The sequence below is a fragment of the Homo sapiens genome, chromosome 7, assembly GCF_000001405.40.
Source record: "Homo sapiens chromosome 7, GRCh38.p14 Primary Assembly".
Taxonomy (NCBI): Eukaryota; Metazoa; Chordata; class Mammalia; order Primates; family Hominidae; genus Homo; species Homo sapiens.
In genome coordinates, this window is record NC_000007.14 from 108434970 (window position 1) to 108457257 (window position 22288).

General features: G+C 40.2%; 1 protein-coding gene across 98 annotated transcripts in view; it reads right to left on the reverse strand.

Moving 5' to 3' along the window:
* Nucleotides 1-21751, reverse strand: part of NRCAM (neuronal cell adhesion molecule) — a 309072-nt gene extending 287321 nt beyond the window's left edge. For 94 of the 98 annotated variants that reach the window (NR_163870.1, NR_163867.1, NR_163869.1 and 91 more), the window contains exon 1: nucleotides 21274-21467. The gene's annotated coding sequence lies outside the window, so the exon portion shown is untranslated. Of the gene's footprint in view, nucleotides 1-21273; nucleotides 21468-21700 lie in introns of those variants that run through there. The other 4 variants (NM_001371122.1, NM_001371124.1, NM_001371119.1 and 1 more) reach the window with 1 other exon arrangement.

Below are 22288 nucleotides of genomic sequence, written 5' to 3' on the forward strand. Positions count from 1 at the left end.
CAATAATAACAACAAAAATTACGAGACAAGTAAAGAAAAAGAAAGTGTGACTCATACATGGTAGGAAAAAAAAAACTATCAATAGAAAATGTCCCTGAGCAGTCCTAAACAGACTTAGCAGACAAAGACTTCTAATCAGCTATTATAAATATGTTCCGAAACTAAAGAAAACCATGTTTAAAAATTAAAGGAAAATCTGATGCCAATTTCTCAACTAATAGATAATCTCAAATTTTTTTAAAGAAAACAATTGAATGGGAAATTTTGGAGTTGAAAAGATCGATACCTGAAATGAAAATTTCTCTACAGGCACTCATAGCAAATTTGAGAAGGCAGAAGAAGAAATTAGTGAACTAGAAAACAGATCAACAGAAATTATCTAATTTGAAAAACACAAAGGAAAAAGTTTTAAGAAAAATAAGCAGAGTCTCAGAAACCCATGGGACAACATCAAGCACACCAAATAAGTACCATGGTAGTTCCAAAAGCAGAGGAGAGGGGGAGAAGAGTGGGTCGAAAAATACTTGACAAATAATAGTTGAAAATCTCCCAAATTTGATGAAGCATACTAATATACAGATCTAAGAAGTTCAACAAACACTAGTCAGGAACAACAGACACTGGGTCCTGGCTGAGGGTGAAGAGTGAGAGGAGGAAGAGGAAAAGGAAAATGGTTATTAGGCTTAATACCTGAGTGATGAAGTAATCGGTACAACAAACCCCTGTGACACGACTTCACCTATATAATAAACCTGCACATGTACCCCTGAACTTAAACTAAAACTCTAGTAAGATAAACACAGAGATCTATATCTGGGCACATCAAAGTCAAACTGTTGAGAATCGAAAGGCACAGTAAATCTTAAAAGCAGCAAGATATTGGCCAGGGGCGGTGGCTTACGCCTGTAATCCCAGCACTTTGGGAGGCCGAGGCGGGTGGATCACGAGGGTAGGAGATCCAGACCATCCTGGCTAACAAGGTAAAACCCCGTTTCTACTGAAAATACAAAAAAAATTAGCCGGGCGTGTTGGCGGGCACCTGTAGTCCCAGCTACTCGGGAGGCTGAGGCAGGAGAATGGCGTGAGCCCGGGAGGCGGAGCTTGCAGTGAGCCGAGATGGCGCCACTGCACTCCAGCCTGGGCGACAGAGTGAGACTCCGTCTCAAATAAATAAATAAATAAATAAAAAATAATTCGCTCACACACGTATACCACCCTTCCTCTCTCCCAACCTTCAATTGCAAAATGGATGGGCTACAGAGATTAAAAGATTCTTCAGAAGCAGACCAACCAGTTGCAAAGTGTGAGTTTTATAAAGATTCTGAATAAGATGTAATGTAAAACCAAGAAACAAACAAATGTGACATAAATGAGAGAATTTTGATATTGATTAGATATTCTAATATAGAAATAATTTATTTTTAATTTTGTTTATGATAATGATGTGTTTATGTTCCAAAGAGCTGTGGCCTTTAAGAGATACTAAAGTATTTACAGATAAAGTGATATGCCTTCAGGAATTGGTTGTAGGTTAATTTCTTGGGAATAGATTCCAGATTCTTTATGAATTTGCATTTATTGAAGCAAGGTCATGAATACAGGGGAGCTGATTTTCTATTCTCTCTGCTTTTGCATTTAAAAAATTTTTTCATAACAAAATTTTAGTAAAGATAGTATATTCAGCTCACTGTTCACATCACAATGTTTAAAAAATAAAACACTACAAATACTTTTTAAAAAGAAAGCAGCAAGAAAAAAATGACTACCTACAGTGAAATGACAATCCAAATAATTTATGACCTCTTATCAAAAATAAGGGGAGGCAACCCTTGCATACACTGTTGGTGGGAATGTAAATTAATACATCTGATATGTATAACAGTTTGGAGGTTCCTCACAAAGCTAAAAATAAAGCTACTAAAAGATCCACCAATCCCACTGCTGGGTATATACCCAAAAGAAAGGAAATCAGTATATTGAAGAGATATCCGCATTCCCATGTTTATTGCAGCACTGTTCACTATAGCCAAGACTTGAAGGCAACCTAAGTGTCCATCAACAGATGAATGGATTAAAAAAATGTTGTACTCATACACGATGGAGTACTATTCAACCATAAAAAAGGATGAGATCCTGTCATTTGCAACAACATGGGTGGAACTGAAGGTCATTATGTTAAGTGAAATCAGCCAGGCGCAGAAAGGCAAACATCACATGTTTTCACTTATATGTGGGATCTAAAAAATCAAAACAATTGAACTCATGGACATAGAAAGTAGGAGGATGGTTACCAGAGGCTAGGAAGAGTGGGAAGTGGGGGAAATGGGTAGGGGAGAGGTGGAGATGGTTAATGGGTACAAAACAAATAGAAAGAATGAATAAGACCTATTATTTGATAGCACAACAGAGTGAATATATTCAATAATAATTTTACTGCATATCTTAAAATAACTAAAAGAGTATAATTAGATAGTTTGTAACACAAAGGATAAATGCTTGAGGGGACAGATGTTCCATTTTTCATGATAAGATTATTACACATTGCATGCCTGAATCAAAACATCTCATGTACCTCATAACTATACACACCTACTATGTAGCCGCAAAAATTAAAAATTTAAAAACAAAACAAAAAACAACGGAGGCCTGAAGGCCGTAGAATAAAATAATCAAACTACTGAAAGAAAAAAATCTGTCAATCAAGACTATATCCCACTATGATCCTTCGAAAACAAAGCACAAAAAAAACACATTTCCATGTAAACAAAGATTTTATAAAGCAATACTTAGAGCACTAAATGGAGTATTCATACATATGTAAATGTAATATAAATGACAATAATAGCATAAAAGAGTGGGGGAGGAAAAGGAGATGTATTGAAGTAAAGCTTTTATATTTTATTAGAATTAAGTTAGTATTATTCTGAAGTAAAGTAAAATAAGATGCACATTATAATGACTAGAGCAACCATTCAAAAATAGTTCAAGAAAAAAAGAATAAAAACAAATTACTGAAACCAACTCAAGGAGACATGGAAAATCCAAATAGGCCTATAAGAAGTAAAAAAAAAAAAAATTAATTAATTAATTAAGAATTTAAAATATTCCTAAAAGAAAAATTCAGGCCCAGATGGCTTCACTGGTGAATTCTACTCTTCCACAAACTTTTTCAAAAAACAGAAGCGAGAACACTTCCCAACACAATCTATAAGGCCAGTTTTACTCTGGTAACAAAATCAGACCAAGGCATTATAAGACCAGAAAACTACATATCAACATCCCTAAGGAACACAGAAGCAAATATCCTAAAATATTAACGATCTGAATTCGGCAGCACATAAAAAGCATTGTACAATATGACCAAGTGGGATGTATTGCAGAAGTTTAACATCCAAAAATCAATTAATATACTACATTAATAGAATAAATGACAAAAATCACATTATAGTTTTAAAAGATGCAGAAAATGCATTTAACAAAATCCCTTTCATGATAAAAAAAATCTCAACAAGCTAGAATAGAAGTAAATTTCTCAACTAAATAAATGACTTCTATTAAAAAATCTACAGTTAACATACCTAATATGAAAGGGTGAAAGCTTTCCCCCTAAGATTGGGAACAACGTAAGGATGTCCACTCTTACCACTTCTATTCAACACTGTATTGGAGCTTCTAGTTAGTACAATAAGGAACATAAAAATCAATGGCATCAAAATCAGAAAGGAAGAGTCAAAATTGTCTTTATTCAGAGATGACACAAATGTAGGAAATCCTGAGAAATCCATTTTTAAAGACTACTAGAATTAATAAACAAGTTTAGCAAGATACAGGATGTAAGGTCAATTTTCTTTCTATACATCACTAACAAACGATCTAAAATGATATGAAGGAAATAATTCCATCACAATAGCACCACAAAAAATAAAATACTTTAAAATAAATTTAACAAAAAAATGCAAGATTTTACATCAAAAATTCAAAGCATTGTTAAGAGAACATGAAGAAAATCTAAATAAATAGACATTAAATGTTATGAATTGGAAGATTTGATATTAAGGTAGCAATTCTTCCCAAGTTCATCTATTGATTTAATGTACTACCTACCAAAATCTTAGCACTTTTTTCCATGAAATTAACAAGTTGACCTTAAAATGTATATGGAAAACTCTTAAGAGAAAACATGTGAGTAAATTTTTGTGAAGTTGAGTGAGGAGATAAATTATTAGATACAACACCAAAAGCACAAGCAACAAAAGAAAAAACAACTACATTGAACTTAACAAAATGAAAAACTTTTTCCCTCAAAGGGCATATCAAGAAAGTAAAAAGACAACCCACAAAATAGGAGAAACATATTCACAAGCCATATATTTGATAAGGAACTTGTATCCAGAAAATATTTTTACAAAACAAACTCAATAATCAGAAGATAAATGACTCCGTTCTAAAAACCGGCAAAACATTTAGACATTTCACCAAAGAAGATACACCAATAGCTATGAGAATATGCTCCACGTTATTAGCCATTAGGGGAGTGCAAGTAAAACTACCATGAAATACCACTCCATGGTCACTAGAATGGACATAATAAAAAAGACAGGCAAGCCGGGCATGGTGGCTTACGCCTGTAATCTCAGCACTTTGGGAGGCTGAGGCAGGTGGATCACCTGAGGTCAGGAGTTTGAGACCAGCCTATCTCTACTAAAAATACAAAATTAGCTGGCTGTGGTGGTGCATGCCTGTAATCCCAGCTACTAGGGAGGCTGAGGCAGGAGAATCACTTGAACCCGGAGGCAGAGGTTGCAGTAAGCCGAGATTGCGCCATTGCACTCCAGCCTGGGTGACAGAGCAAGACTCCGTCACAAAAAAAAAAAAAAAAAAAAAAGGACAGGCAATACTAAAGATTGGCAAGGATGTCAAGAAGCTGGAACCCTCAGGCATTCCTGGTTGGGAAAGTAAAATGATACAGCCACTTTAAAAAATAGTTTGGTAATGTCTTAAATCAGAAATATAAATATACCATACAAGCCAGCAATTCCACTAGTATCTATCAAAGACAAATGAAAACATAGGGACACATAAGGACTTGTACGCTAATATTCATAGCAACATTATTAATAATAGTCTCAAATTGGAAACAGTCCATATGTCTATCCACTGGTGAATACGTAAACTCAATGTGGTATCTACATACCAGGGAATACCACTGATACGTGTTACAACATGGAGAACCCTCAAAAACATTATGCTACCTCAAAGAAGCCAGACACAAAAGATTCTATAGTATATGGTTCCATTAATATGAAATGTCCAGAAAAGGCATATACCTTAATAAAGTTGTAAAATATATTTTACAACAAAATGTTGTCCATAGTACCATAATTCCATTTTTTAATTTGGGTTACATTTTTTTTTCATTAAATGAATTAAGCCGAGGACTTAAGGAACTGATCCAACAGAAAAAAAGTTTTCTACATTCATCAACCATACCCTTTATAATTTGTTACACCAATTAATTTACAGTAATCACTTCAGACACAAGAACACAGCAGTCAACTTTTCCATTAGTTGGGTTTTACTCCTCTGTCAGCTTTCTTAGTAATGAATGGAGGCTCACTTACATTCAAAGATTTCACACTTCCAAAGACAATCTAAAGGTAACTCTACTGATTGCTCTGCTAGGGAGTGGCTCCATTTTGAGCTTCCCTCAAACAAAGTATGAGCAAAAATGTTTAGTCACATGAAGCCTCCATTTTGCCAGCTGCACACTTCCAAAAATTTATTCACCCAAAGGTCAGAAGCGGTGAGTTCTGGAGTTCTTTATGGTGTCCTGGGAATGCCTTTCAAGTCTCTGGCTGCTCACAATATTTTTGTGTGTGCTGAACTGTTATCTAAAACGAAGTATTTCCTAATTTCAGCCTACTCTGAGAACCTTCAGCTTTTAAAGAGCTTGCTGTATAAAAAACACAACAGGCCTCTGTAATTCTACTTCAGGTGCGATCTGGACACCATGAAGCACTGCAAATTCTCTAAGGGGATGCCCGTTAATGTCAACTGGATGGTTATCTTGTAGGTTTGTTGTTCTTAAGCCCAAACTTAACTGTTACCATGGAAATAAAACACAAAAGGAGTTGTCCATCCTGGAAAATAAAAACCTTTAGAATTCTCATTCAAGGAGTTAATGTTAAATATGGGAGAAACTCTTCTGCATAATGTTTTTGTGAAAAATAAATTTTTTTCCTTGAGAATATGCAAAAGTTATCTTACTATGTAACACTTGGACCCCCCAACATATAAACAAAATTTTAAAACTAATAATGTACATAATTTTAAAAATTAGGGTCATTTGCTTTTTGCAATCCTATTGACTAAAACAGCCACAATATCAGATTGCTCAAAGAACTTTAGAAGCTTTTTTCAATTAGTCAAGGATGCAATTACATTACCTGAATGTGCTGTAGATTAGATTAGACTATCTACACTTTCCTAAATAGCATCTTCAGGACTCAGTTCTCTATACAACATTCCCCTTAGAAGTTTGGGTCATAACTGTAACTCTCACCATGCAGAAGCTAAAAGTCCATTTCCTTGTTATATATCATAGTAGGATGACACAGTAATGTGCAGGAATTACGACTGAGGGATAAGGGTCAAATTCCTTGGGTTAGAATCCTAGCTCTGCAACTTAGCAGCTATGTTATTTTAATCAGCTAAACTCCCTAAGCCTCAGTTTCCTCATCTATAAAATGAGTATAATAGCATAAAGCAGGGTTGGAAAACTTTGACCGTGGGCCAAATCTGGCCTGCCGCCAATTTTGAAAAGAAAGTTTTACATGGCCATGCCTGTTCATTTACATAGTGTCTATGAGAATTTTTGGAGATATCAAATAGCCTAAAATGCCTACATATTTGTACTATCTCGCCCTTCATAGAAACAATTTGCTAGCTTCTCATATAAAGGGTTTTTGTGAAGATTAAATGTGATCATTCATTAAAGTGTTCCATATAGGTAAGCAACTAATAAATGGCAGGGATTATTGTTATTTATTAATAGTAATAAGTTATAAAAATCATTGTGATCTCATTTCCTAAAATTCAGAGAGACAACTTTACATATAATACCTCGGGAGCAGGCTGCCCATACAGTAATACCTTGGGATCAGTAGGCTCAGCCCCCTTTTTTTGATGAATTGGTCATGGAGGTGGCTGAGGTGGTATGATCACAGGATGTGATGTGCAGCTGTCAGTGCAGGGCAGAGAGCCCGGTGAGTCACAGACAGCAGCTGCCACGAGTCATCCATTCCAAGTAATTGATACTCTGCCATTCTGTGATGGAGGATCTCTTGGTCACAGGTGTATAACACATGCATATTCGTGATTGGCCCCACTCCTAACTGTGTAGAGGAGACCAAAGAGGGAGTGGGGAGGGCTGGAATTATGCTTACACGATGACCAGAGCAGGTGCAGGTAGCCACAACACAGCCTATTTCCATTTTCCAGGCAGTAACTGGTTTCCCAAGATGTATTCTGTTGTCCAGAACAGGGAATAAGATGGGGTGGTCTAGTACATAAAATTCTAAAATGTGAGTTTGATGTAAGAAAATATAGATTAACCATTCAAAGTAGTAAAAGCTGGTGATTACCAGCTGGTGATTTACCACAGAACTGGCATCACTGGTCCCATGCTAGTACATCTGCAAAATGACTTTGGTCAATCACCAAATATGACAGTGTTATCCACAAATCTTTCAAACTGTCCTTAGAACACCGTCTTTCAAGGCAAATATTTAAAAGATCTAAAGAGCTCATACTGAAACAGTGATATTCAGATACAAACTATCGCCTGTACTCTCTGCTCCTGTCTAGGGCCTTAAACATGTCAATCAATTTTCACCTCACTTCCTTGTGTGTTAAAAAGAAGCTGCGAGAATATGCATAATAAAAATAGCCATAATTCAAAATTGTTTCCTGCTGGATGTTGGTAGATTCTCATTAGTTGTAGTTGCTCCTGTCAGGATCATAAATAAATTTATGTCTGTAGCACGGAAAGAACATATTCACCAGGAGGAAACCTCAAATTGGCAAATGGTCCATGTATTAAAATGAGATCAGTGAATGACACAAACTCAGAATTGTAAAGTTCTCAGTGTTCATCCCAAGAATCTTCCTACCAAACAATCTCGTTGCTATTATTTAAAACAATTAGACCTTTTTTTTTTGTATGTCACAGTTCATTAAATGCCATACACATGACATTAATAGGTAAGGTCATTTCCCTGGAGGAGCTCACCATCCAAGACAGACAAGGCTGCCGCTGGTGGGAATGAAGAACAGACATTCACACCAAATGGGGAGACATCATAAAGGACCAGCTGAAATGGTTTTAGAGTTCACAGTATATTCAAATTAATATTCAAGTTGAATCAAAGCTCTTGACAATTCTGTTTCTCCAAATAGACAGTGGTGCTGCCTGATTATAGCTAGCTGCAAAATTCTCCACAATGCCATTTTTACCCTGCCCCACTGAAGGCTGAAGTTGTCTAAGAGATAGCTCATTCAAGGCTTTGCTTTCCTCAGCTTGAGTAAACATCAGCAACTGTAACATTTTTCATGTTGAAAGAAACCTTCTGACTACACAGCCTTGGCACCTGTAGAGACTTAAACAAAATATGTGCCCTTAAGTTACCAGGTGATGAAAATTTACACTTGATGGAGGCAGCAAAGTTGCAGCTGATTATAATCGAAAAAGGTAATCAACTAATTAAACTACCAACTTCAAACATTTGTCCAGGTAATAAAATTAATACCCTCTTCACCACTCCCAGCATCTCTGTGCCTTAATTCAAGGAATAACTTTCTAAATAGCCAATTATTATATATGTATTCCTTTGGTACACAAAGTATACAGATATAGATAGATAGATACATACATACATACATACATACATACATACATACATAGATACAGGTGTAGGTATAGATTCAGATATAGATATAGATGATGAGATAGAGAGAGAGAGAGATAGGGATACAATTGGCCTTCTGTATCCCTGGGTTTTGCATCTGTAGATTCAACCAATCACTGATGGAAAATATCCTTAAATAAATAAATAAATAAAACAATGCAACAATTTAAAATAATATAAATTTTAAAACAATATAGTGTAAGAACTATTTACATAGCATTTACATTGTAATCTAGAGATGATTTTAAGTATATGGAAGGATGTATGTAGGTTATACGCAAATACTACACCGTTTTATATCAGAGACTTGAATAGCCTCTGATTTTGATATCCTGGGGGTAAGGGGGTGGTCTGAGAACCAATCTTCCTTGGATACTGAGGGATGACTCTATAGACATAGCTATATGACACAGAGGTATGGGAAAGCTGTATTCTCTTTTTTTTTGGTAAGAAATAGGTTTAGAAACAGATGAACTATTATTGTATTCTGTATTAGTTTGCCGGGGCTGCTGTAACAAAGTACCACAAAATGGAGGCTTACACAACAGAAGTTTATTATTTCACAGTTCTGGAGACAGGAAGTCCAAGATCCAGGTGTCCGCAGGGTTGGTCCCTTCCAAGGGCTGTGAGAGAGAATCTGTTCCATGCATCTCTCCTGGCTTCTAGTGGTTTGCTGGCAACCTTTGGCCATTTTTGGTTTGTAGATCTCTGTCTTCATTTCCACAGGCCTTCTTCTACTCTGCCTATCTCCAAATTGCCTCTTTTTATAAGGACACTAATCATATATGGATTGGGGCCTAACCTAATTATCTCACTTTAACTATAAAGACCCTGTCTGCAAATAAGGCCACATTCTCAGGCACTGGGGGTTGAGACTTCAACATATGAATTTTAAAGGACATAATTCAATCCATAACACATTCCCATTTCTAAAATTCTGTGTCGACAGAGTCCAGGTCAATAATGATTACAATTTTTAATCTCCATCTCTTCACTGAGGTGCAGAGGAACAGAATAAATGCAAAATACCTCAACTGTATATACAAACCTGCTCACAAGCCACACTGCATGTATCTCCCTTTATTTCAAACTTCTAAGTACATGCAGTTTGTAAACTAGATGAATTTAATATATTAAAATGGTTTCATGCTTTATTGGTTTATGGGGTTGCTAGTTAGTCATGCCTGACACACAACAAAATTATTGACTGTCCTTTTCAAAAATATGAATGGATTATGGCTTGAAATAAAATACAATTAGATTTATGGACATTGACTGCAACTGAAAAATAAAAAGTTCCTTCTCAGAAGGACACACTGCCGACAGCTTTGCTGACTCTTATTTTATCATATTGACTCAACATGACTTTAACATATATATTATCATTTTTTGGAGAGTAAGGTTATAATTTGTGTTTTGAGAACAGTCCTATCCTGCAGCATCAACAAGGGTATCAATCTCCAGGCTGCAGTGCAAGACCACTTCATTTATTCAAAATCGAGTAGCCACATGTATTGTTAAGAATACATGATACATACGTATGCCTCAAGCATGTTTTTGGTGCAAAAAATGTCAAGTGCATTCTACCTAATAACACAGATTTACGTCATCTTTCTCTCTTAGCACTTTCATTTCATCATCATTTGTTACAGTCACATACCCCTGTGATGTAGGGTTGGGTGGTGACAAAGATTTTGTGTTTTATCTCTATTTTCTAAATAAAGAAAAGTTACTTAAGTAACTTTTCCAAAGCCATGCAGTGTATGAGCTTTCTTAATCTATGTGTAGTAGCCTAGTTCTTCTCAAATTTTAATTAATCAAAGATGTTACATAACTTTTTATTCTAGGTGTCTCTAATATGGCACCACTGCCCTGAATCCAACCCCTATAACCCACTAACTAGTTACGAAAGGCCATGCTGTAGTTCAACTCACATCTTAAGGGAGAAAGTTCCATTTTTAAAGCTACAGCATGAGAGCTTCTGATCTGTTTCACAAACCAGTCTCTTCATTTTTCATTTCAGTTCTGTGTGCCTCACTTCTGATTTCTTCAAATTCAGAGGGTAGAAAGCAATCTCAGAAAGTGCTTAACTCAGTCAGTGTGCAGCCACCCAGAGACCTCCGGAGGAAAATGACAAGCACCAGCTTCAGACAGTGAAGGGAAAGGAAAGCCACGTGCAAATCTGGAATCATCTGCCATTAGCAAAGGTAGAAAATTATAGAGGAACTCTTTGGGGTCACAAGGATGTCATTTAGACCTCCGCAGCAGAAATTTTTTAAATAGTACCCTTCTGGATTCAATGATTTCACCTGCTTGCTCAAGTGCCTAATTTAGAACCAGCAAGCAAATTACAATCTACAGAGTCCAGGCATGAAATTATAAATGTTTGGTTTCTCATGGTCTAGATCTATCTATGTCTTCAAACCAGGGCTGAGAACAAAACCCCCCAATTTTCCCCAACAAAGATCCACCTGACATTCTGACATTTTGCAATATTCATGTATTCAGTCATTCATTCTTGCACACACTCATTTATCAAATTTGGGGGCTCTCAGATACATACCACCATGCATAATGTGAAGAGCAGCTCAGGCTCCTCGCAGAACAGAGCAAGGATGGTTTCCGAAGTTAGGAGACATGGAGAAAGCTGACTAAGATAAGCAAGGGCCCCCAATGCCTGGATGACTAGTTATCTGCTTTTCTTTATCATGCAGACTCGGCCCCTCAATGTTATTTAGAGCAAATATCAAATATTTTTATACAATCGTATGTTCTCTCTGCATTTACAACCTATGTCTTTTTTTTTTTTTGAGATGGAGTCTCGCTGTGTTGCCCAGGCTGTAGTGCAAGTGCATGATCACAGCTCACTGCAACCTTCGCCTCCTGGGTTGAGGTGATTCTCCTGCCTCAGCCTCCTGAGTAGCTGGGATTACAGACGCCCACCACCACACCTGGCTCATTTTTGCATTTTTTTAGTAGAGATGGGGTTTCACCATGTTGGCCAGGCTGGTCTCAAATTCCCGACCTCAAGTGATCTGCCCGCCCAGGCCTCCCAAAGTGCTGGGATTAGCATGAGCCACCACACCCAGACCCACCTGTCTACCTCTTTACTAATTTTTATTCAGCCTTATTTGCTTAGGTTTCACTTGGTATCTATTTGCTCTTTCAACAGAGTCTCTACTTAGATATTTCTGAAAAATTTTTCATGAATTGAACTTTGATACATTACAGCAGCTCACTCATCATATAATCCTTATGCAAAGTGAAGAATCCTCTTTGATGTGAACAGTCACCCCATATGGGTTTGCCAAGTTCACTTCTTTCTTTTTTTTTTTTTTTTTTTTTTTTTAGACAGCGTCTCGCTCTATTGCCCAGGCTGGAGTGCAGTGGCACAATCTTGGCTCACTGAAACCTCTGCCTCCTGGGTTCCAGTGATTCTCCTGCCTCAGCCTCCCGAGTAGCTGGGATTACAGGCACGCACCACCATGCCTGGCTAATTTTTGTTTTTGTATTTTTAGTAGAGAGGGGGTTTTACCATGCTGGCCAGGGCGCTCTTGAACTCCTGATCTCATGATCCGCCTACTCTGTCCTCCCAAAGTGCTGGAACTACAGGTGTGAGCCACTGCGCCCGACCAAGTTCACATTTTCATATGCTAACTTTCTCAAGCTAGGGCCACCTGTACATAAAGGAACAAAACAGCTGGAAAATAGAGTGGATTTGGCTAGGAATTTAAGCATGTTACACTGAAATAACTTTAGCTTTCAATTCTTAGTAAATTCTTCTCAATACATTTCTTTTAAATGTAAATGTCTTATCATATTTCATTTTTGTAAGGTGACTTATGAGTTATTTCTATTTTATGATGTCAAGTTACTGCAATGACCCAAAGTACTACAGTAAAATATCCCTAGAATATTTCGTATTGAGTGCTATGAAGTGGAGACTATTCTCCATTAGCCAGGCAATAGCCATAAAAACTTTTATTCTTTTCCCTTTCTCTTTCTTTCAAATTTTAAGCTATTACCTTTAGAGGTAATGAGTCTGATCATGAACTCACTCCCTCTCTGCTGTTTAATGAACCCCCTCATGGTTTTAGGACAGCAGTGAACCCTTGACATCTATTTACCTTCCATTATAATTTCACATCACAGTAACTGTTACTAGAAACGTAAACATAACCATGGAGTTTTTTAAACCCCAGCACATCTATTAAAATGAAATTTACCTTAAAATTCATGAAACACACAAGGTATATATCATGATTCATGTAAAACACAACATGTCGTGTAAGTTAATATAATCATTCTGAAGTAAATTAGATGTTGTTCACATTAGAGTATTTATTATGTTGGAATTTCCATGTTACTAACTGTTCAAATATTGCCATGTCAATGTTATTTCCCTAAAAGTAGAAATATTCATTTGAATGTACTAAATATACATTTACAAAAATGGCTTTTAGCCATCATGCTACTAACATCAGAAGAAAAGACTATGTCGAGTCATTTAAGCAGTCAAAGATGCGAAAGCAAAATTTGGTGATGTTTCAACTTTCAATTTTTCAGTTTTCAAATACTACAATTTTTCCATTTCCAATCGCAGTTTTACAGAATACCAGGAAGAATTTCAAATTACCCAAAATTGCTTTTTATTTCACTTATTATAATACATTCTAGTACCCTCTACCTCCTAGTAGCTGCTTTTATTATTCTAGTGATGCACACACTAGAAAACGTTTCCTACTGAAATGTTTTCAATCAGATGCTGCCTACCAAAATGAATGGAAAACCATGTGCCATATGAAAAACTTCGAGAGTAAATATAAGAGTGATGGACTCCCACCGGGAGCAGAAAGCCAAAATCACACTTCATAAATATACTTATCTGGGAAGAAAAAACACTGGTTAGACAATATTTAGGACAGATGTATCTTGTTGCACATCAAAACAATCTGTGGACAACACCACAACACTGCGATGCAATTTTACAAGGGAAGCTGGTTGGGCATTTCTGTATTTATTCAACTAGATAATAGAGGGGAAAGCCGCAGAACAGTCAGAAGAATATTTGCAATGCAATTAGGGGGAACAAGTGCATCTGAGTGAGCGCCAGACACAGGGGCCTCCCCTTAATTCACACAGTCCAATGTTTTAATGCAGCGTACAGCAGCAAACTGAACTTCCTACAGTTTTAAAACTTTTGTCAGTTAACTAGATGTTTACCAAGTGCCTCGCTTGGGCACTCAACATTTCGGGTGTGCCATCCAGCTCTATGTAGGTTGTTCCAACACCATCTGTCACTTAAGCTTCCACAGATTCACAAATTTCAATTCGAACTAATCTACTCGGCACTCAAACTGAAGCTATAATTCAAATTTCAACATGAAGCTTGAATTCCTTTTCAGTGTTCTTCAACTTTGACCCAGCTCCCCCCTCCCTTCACTGAAAAGGGCCAAGACAACAGCCCAGCAAGTGGGGCAGGCAAAACAGGCCTCCTTTGTTCACTTTTGTCCTTTCAGCTCTCTATTGAGGTAAGGGACTGAAAAGGCACACCAGGTTTTGGAAGGCAGCAGCGGACTCGCTCGCAAGCCATCCTTCCTCAAAGAACCAAAAAACTCCAGGACAAAACTCTTTGGACAGGCCACTCTTACCTTAAGGCATAATTAATGGGAGATTAGTACTTCCCCTTTCCCTTGAGAGAGAATCTGTTAGTGGTGTTGAATATGAGTCTGTAAATGTTCATCAAAAATGCATGCCATAAATCATGCCATTCAAATGCCAAGGACATCAAAAAGTGGCATGAAATTAGCTTTAAAGTTGAAATTTGGAGAAAAGATCACTACATGCTGAATACTCATACTGAATTTTTTGAATGCTCTCAGCCCACTTGAGAAAGATAAATCAAATTCATTGCATATTACCCAGTGGAAGACCTCCTACAGGATTCCCTCAGATTGCCCTAGAAATAGATTTTTTTTTTTTCTGGTTACAGTGGGTTTTGAACCAACACACTATGCACATAATAAAATTTAAACATATATATATATTCAACATATATATATTCAAAATATAGTTTCCAGCCCTTCCTACCATTATTTAATGAGAAGAATTTCAAAAGGATCATTTTTGCCTGACAGTACCTGTCATTTTCATTCTCATGTGAATTAAACCATGTTTTAGTCCAGGGCAATATGGAAGAAATTCGGAGAGCACATAATACAAGTAAGATTCATCATTCCTGTGTTCGAACTGAATATGCCATTAGGACAGTATGTGAGTACAGGAGCATTAGTGGTTATAATTTGTTCCCTTTACCACTGGCTTTTTTTTTTTTTTATCTTCACTAGCTTCTTAGTCACTTGATGGAAACCCTCCATCAGACTGTTAAAAATTACCTTTTTCTAATTTGAAATTCCAATCTTGTAGGCCAGTAAAATAGGTCAATTAAGTTGACACCACATCTTTTTTATTAGCTCAGCTAAGCAATTATAATTGGGTGGTGAAGGTTTATGCTGTCATCTTGGAAGATTCAATGGTAGGGAGAAATGCCCAATGTGGAACTATAATTTACAATGCCAGTACATCCCTAAACATTCAGCATAAGAATATTTCTATTTTCAGATATGAGGCAAATTTGCTCTTGTTCTAGATTAAAATAATAATGCCATTTTTTGGCAGTAAAAAAAGCATATTTATTTAACTTATCCTCATAGCAAAATCATTTAGCACAAGTGTATTACAGACATAGGTACTTTAATTCAACATTTTAGAAAAATACCATGAATGTATGCCATCAATGCTGGCTTATCCTGGACTTGGACTACAACACATATGCTCCACAACATCAATTTCTTGCTTTGCACAAAGTATGTAATCAATTAATACTTGTTGAAAACCATATACCTCCATATTAATAAATGTTAAACCAATAAATTAGAAATGCTGTGAATGACTTGTTCAGAATATATAGATATTAATTTACAGCTTTAAAAGATAACAGTGGCTGGGCGTGGTGACTCACGCTTGTAATCTCAGCACTTTGGGAGGCCAAGGTGGATGTATCACCTGAGGTCAGGGGTTGAAGACCAGCTTGGCCAACCTGGTAAAACCCTGTCTCTACTAAAAATACAAAAATTAGCTGGGCATGGTGGCAGGTGCCTGTAATCCCAGGTAATCAGGTGGCTGAGGCAGGACAATCACTTGAACCAGGGAGGCAGAGGTTGCAGTGAGCCGAGACTGCAGCATTGCACTCCAGCCCAAGTGACAGGGCGAGACTCCGTCTCCAAAAAAAAAAAAACAAAGAAAGAAAAAAAAAGTAACAGTGATTGCACTTCAAACCTATTAGGATGGCTATTATCAAGAAAACAGAAAATAACAAGTGTTGGAGAAAATGTGGACAAACTGGAACCCCTGCGCATTGTTGGCAGAAATGTAAAATGGTACAGCTACTATGGAAAAGAGTATAACGATGTCTCAAAAAAAAATAGAACTACCATATGATCTAGCAGTCTCATTTCTGGGTATATACCCCAGAGAATTGAAAGCAGTGACTCAGATATTTGTACATCCATGTTCATGGCAGCATCATTTGCAATAGCCAAAAGATGAAAGTAACCCAAGTATATATGACATATGAATGGATAAACAAAATGTGGCATATACATACAATGAAATATTATTCAGCATTACAAAGGAAGGAAATTCTGACACATGGATCAACCTTGAAGGCACTATGGTAAGCAAAATAAACCAGTTACAGAAAGACAAATAAATACTGTATGATTCCACTCATATGAGGTACTTAGGGTCATCAGATTCATAGACTGGAAGTAGGATGTTTGTTGCCAGGGGCTGGGGGCTGAGGGGTTATGAACTATTGTTTAATGTGTACAGAGTTACAATTTGGGAAGGCAAAAAATGTTCTGGAGAGGTATAGTGGTGATGGCTGCACACAATGTGAATGTACTTAATGCCACTGAAGTATACACTTAGAAATAGTTTAATGGCATATCTTATGTCATATATATTTTACAATAAAAAACTTAGCAAAAACATTTTTTAAATAAACATATTGCATTTGCTGCCCCATTTAAAGACAACCTGATAATGAAGGATTTACAGTTGCTGACGCTGAAGGCTGAGCCATTCCCCTATTTCCTTCCTCAGGTAGCCTTCAATTTTAAGAGAAAAAATAAAAATTTGTCAATTCATTTTGGTACATCTTCCTATTCTTAGAAACTTCAGTCAAACTCATAGAAGCAGAGAGTAGAATGGTGATTGCTAGTGGGTAGGGGAATTGGGGAGATGAGATGTTCTCACCACACATACACAAATTAACTGTGTGAGGTGATAGATGTGTTTATTAGTTTGATTGTGGTAATCATTTCACAATGTATACATATATCAAAATATCATGTTGTACATATTAAATGTATACAACTTTTACTTGTCAATTATATCTCATTAATGCTGTGGGGGGGGGAAGAAACTTCAGCCTTTGATCCCAATAGAGGCTGTTTTAAACAGAAGGAGCTTTTCATTTGCCAAGGCAGTAAAATGTTTAAGTAAAATAAGTCACTGGATTTTTGCCCTTAGCATCCAGTTCTCTCCTCTGTCCTCACCTGCCAGGAAGGTTCCTGGAAGGGATGCTTCAGGTAGGGAAGCATAAAATTTTAAGGGAAAAGCATATCTAAATGTATTTAGTAATTTTCAAATCACTTCCTCTTCATCAATCATTGCAACAGCTGAAGACTGAAGTAAAGCAGTCTTTTGATTCAAATGCACAAAACTTCCTAAAGAATATGTTAGAAGCTCTACATTCCAGTTAAATTTGCTATGGGTTACCGAGCTTCTCAGATGGTAGGTACTCTTTGAAAATGAGGATGAGATTCCAATAGCTGCTGATCTATGGTGAGAATATAAGGAAAAAGCCTCAGTGCCTCAGTGGTTACCCTTTGGGGTGAGTAATGACTGGAAGGGACCACAAGAGGGCTTTCTCAGATGTGCATTACACTGTTCCTTGATCTGAGTGCTAGTTAAGTCAATGTGTTCAGTTTGTGCAAGTTCATCGGCTATGCATTTGTGATATGTGAAAAAAACTCTGTGTGATGAAGTATGTAGCTAGATGATAAAATTAGAATTAATCTTCCCAAGGACAGATATTCTGTTTGGTCACCACTGTATCCCCACTGCCTGGAACACAGTAAATATTTATTAAAGAATGAAGGAATGAATGAATGAAATCTTTTTAACGGAAAAGCTTCCTGTAGAGTTCCATTCAACAGCTCCTATGTACATACACAATATAATATCTGTAGAGTCTATTTATATTCAATCTGTTACACAGGGAAAATTACACCTGCATGAAAGCATTATTTGAAATGATTCTTGAAATTTTCTACAGCCCAGGTGTATACATTCTCAGGACCCCCTCACACTTCTGAAGCACTTACACCTAGCGATTATTGCCATCATTGTTGTATTGGCCTCACAGGAAGTACTATTTCCAAAGATGCTTTGCTTTCTATTCACTGTTACCGTAGCATTAACAAAAATGATGTGGTGTAAGGGCAATGGCCTTCAGTCCAAAGACCTCATCACTACCCTGCATTACGAGGCTGAGCCCTATTGCAGTTGTTTTGAAACTCGAAGGATTAGTTAGATACAATGTTGCCTGAGTCCTCTAACAGCTCTAAAATTCCTGGATTATGTAAAATGTTTAGCAACTTTCCTGTAATAAAGTAAAAAGAAGGTTGAAACAAGACTATGAGTCAGTAGGATTATGAATGCAAAATAAATCAATTTTTCCAATTGATCAGTTAATTATAATTCTAAAAGCTATTCCAGAAATAGCTGATTCCACTTTGGTTCAAATTTTCCTTTTTTACTAGTTAACATGGAGCATCTTCATAAATGCCCCCACATGTTTCTATATATTTAGGAAATAGAATGATTTCCTAAGATTGGATGCTAGGGTCCTATTCAAACTCAACATCCAATTTGAGGAGTAACTCATTTGCAGTCAAAACCGTGTACAAAGGACATTCAGGGCTGGGGACCTTTTCTTTAAAGAAAAAAAAGTTTTATGAAACTTTATGATGTGCCAGGAACATCTATGTAATCACAGAGGCCCTGGTTACTAAGAACATGTTGTTCAGTGACTGTAATGGGTTGGATTGTGGGTTAACAGCCACGTACTTAAAAGCTAACAGGAATAAAAGAATATGTAAAGGAGTTACATGGGAATAAAAGGCTATTCCACAATACAGTTCTCTGAATCACAATATTGCCTGCTACTGTGAGTTCTGCAGAGCTCCGAATTAAATGGGCTTGTAATGTATCTCCCTGGTTTTGAACACTCAGTGGTTTAGGTTTCCCCTAAACTGATAAGCCTCCAAAAGGCCACAGTCTCAGTCTTGGATTGTAAAGCACAAGGACAAAAACAATCCCACTCCCCTACTTCCTAGCTGTGTGGCCTTGGGAAAGTTACTTGGTTTCTCTAAGCCTTCATTTCCTAATTTTTAAAATGGGGTTGCTGTGAGAATTAAATGAGATGATACATGTAACATGCGCAGCGCCCAGCACATCTAAAGCTCTCAAAACCGGTTGGCTATCGTTACCATTAAAGCAGCAAGTATCAGTTGCCTAACTCCATTTCAGTACTTCAGCAAGTACTGCCATTATTACAATATTTTAACAGCAGGGCATGGTTAGCACAATGCAGTCCCATAAAGCAGCCCAGCCTCCGAGGTTTGTATTCAGAGGTTACTGTGTTCCTTTCCAGGACCACCCCAGGGGGAGCTCCTGGTGCACAACCAATGCTTCCTGCCTCATTACACTTGGCTCCATCTCCTCCTGCAAAAGCCTGGGGCGAGGAAGAGCCCAGTCTCTTAGACCCGCACTTCTGAGCGTTAACCATCTGGGACTCGGAAAGGAAAAGAAAGCTTTCTTCTCAGGACAGTTCTGCGCCGGTGGTAGCCAAGGGCTGGAGCCCCTGATGCGAAGAAAAGGGAAGGAGAGAGGCGGGGTGCGAAAGAAACGCCACCGCTCGGCGCCCTCCCTCGGTGCCCGCGGCGCAGGGGCCACCCGCCAGCGTACGGGGGACGAAGATGTGGCCGCGGGCGCGGGCGGGAGGGGAGGCGATCCGGGGAAGGAAGCGGCCTGTTCGCCAGCCCCGGGGCCCGGGGAGCCCTCCAGCAGCGCTTGCGGCCCTGAGGACACCGCTTTGGGAGAAATGACGACTCCCTTGCTCACCCTACTGCGACACCCCGTCCCCCTCCGCACTCTAGCAGATGCGGGCCGGGAGTAGCTGAGCTGGCCAACCGCCTGGGACCAGGATGCGGCAGCGCCCACCCGCGCGGCGTGGAGGGGGCCGGGGGCGGCGCTCGGCGCAGATGGCGCTCGCTGCGAGATGGATGCTCCAGGGCGGGTAATCACTCCTGGCTCAACACAGCATCCCGGGCGGAGCGGATGCCAGATCCCACCGCTAAGAGCCTGGGCTGGGAAAGCAATCTTTCCAGGCAGCCCCCAGCCCGGTGCGCCGGCCCCGACAAGTCCCAGCCCTCGGAGGCAGGGCGGGGCGCAGGGACTCCCGGGACCCGCACCTGTAAGGCCGACAAAGCCCCCGCAAGCGCCCCACCCCTCTGTCCTCCGTGTCTCTCTCGTTCCGCCTCGATTCCCCGAGCCCTCTCCAGGCAGCGACTGGAGAAGCGAAGTCGGCCTCGCCCCCGAACTCCGTGGTCAGCACAGGTGTACGCACTTCCGAACAAAGCCCACGCCCAGACGTGTCCGCAGGGGCCCGAACAGGCACACGCCCGTGCGCTCCCGGCCCGGCCCCCGCGCTCCTCGCCCCGCCGGCACTGTGGCGTGACGCCCCGCGCCTCCGTGTCCAAGCCCGGGAAGCCGCCGTGCCGGGCCCGCAGGCTCTCCATGCCCAACTGCCCACGAGCAAGAGCTCTGGGCAGGGCTTCCCGGAAAGCGTGGGGTGCGGGCGCGGAGCAGAAGTTGGCCACAGGCTGGAGGGGGTGGTGGGTGCCGGCGCTGCTGGATTTCAGCTGTGCCTTCACCCAAGCGCAGGTCCCCCTGCTCCCTCTCGGCGCCCGCGGGAGTGTCGGGGGCCTGCAGGGGAGAAGGGAGTTGGAGATCTGCTTTGCCCCTCCTGCAGCGCTGCCAGCCCGGTGAGCGCTCGGCTGAACCCCGCGGCGGTGTCCAAGTGACAACGCAGCAGCCTCGCGCGTCCTCCTCCGCTCCAGCCGTCACCCCCGAGCAGGACCCAGTGTCACCGCCAGACGCGCAAGGAGCTACTTACGTTCTCGCGCCGCGCCCTCCGCTCAGCTCTGGCGCGACTGCCCAGGACCCTGGACCGCCGGTGTCCTCCGTTCTCGACGAAGCTATCCCCTCTGGCTGCTCCAGCCAGGCGGCCCCTGCGCCGTCCCCCGCGCCCGCGCGTCTGAGGCTCGGACTGCGGCGCGCGTCCGCCAGCGACCCTGGCGAAGCGAGGCTGGCCCCGCGCCGGCGCGCGCCCCCGCCGCTCCCGCCCTCTCCGCTCCCCCTCCCCGCGCCGTGCTTTTGCCCCTCCCGGCTCTCCTTAGCGTCCTCCCGTCCCCCTCCCCCGCACTCCCTGCGGGCGTCCTCCGCCTCCTCCCCTCCTGGCCAACCCCCTCTTGCCCTGCTGCTGCGACGGCAGCGAATGGGCTCCAGCCGCCGGCGCCTCGAGGGACTGGGTGGCCCCTCACCTGAGCGGCCGCCCCACCGCCAACCTCCGTCAGCCTGCGAGCGCGTGTGGCGGCGGGGGTGGGGGTGCGGGGACGGAGGGCGGGAGTGTTCCGGGGCTAGGATGGCTGGGATTTAGCTACAAAAGATGTTCCAGAAAATGGGTAGTTTTTGAATGCCACTCTCATGGGTTTAGCTTTCTGTGGGAGGTCTGTGGTCTTCTAGTTTTTTCTTTTTTAAAAAGCACTTTCTTCGAAATTCATCAGTTGGGGTGGTTGAGATTGGGTGAGTGGTTTTGGGGGTTTTGTTTTGTTTTTGCAACCGTTCTTTCCAAACACTCCCCGCCGCCCCCCACCACCGCAGAAAAAAGAGCTTTTAGCATAAGGCGGATGCTATCTATCCGCGGTAGAAACTGGGTCTTCTGGTCCCAAGGAATAGGGTTAGTTCGGATTTGCTTATTTACAAATGGGGGAGTATTATGGAGATTTTTTTTTTTTTTTTTTGGCAATGTAAATCGAGAATTAAGATTTTCCAACTGTATAGTATTTGAGTAAACACACTGCTTGCTGCATAGTTCAGGCTCCGAAGCGCACGTCTCCACTCTATCGTGG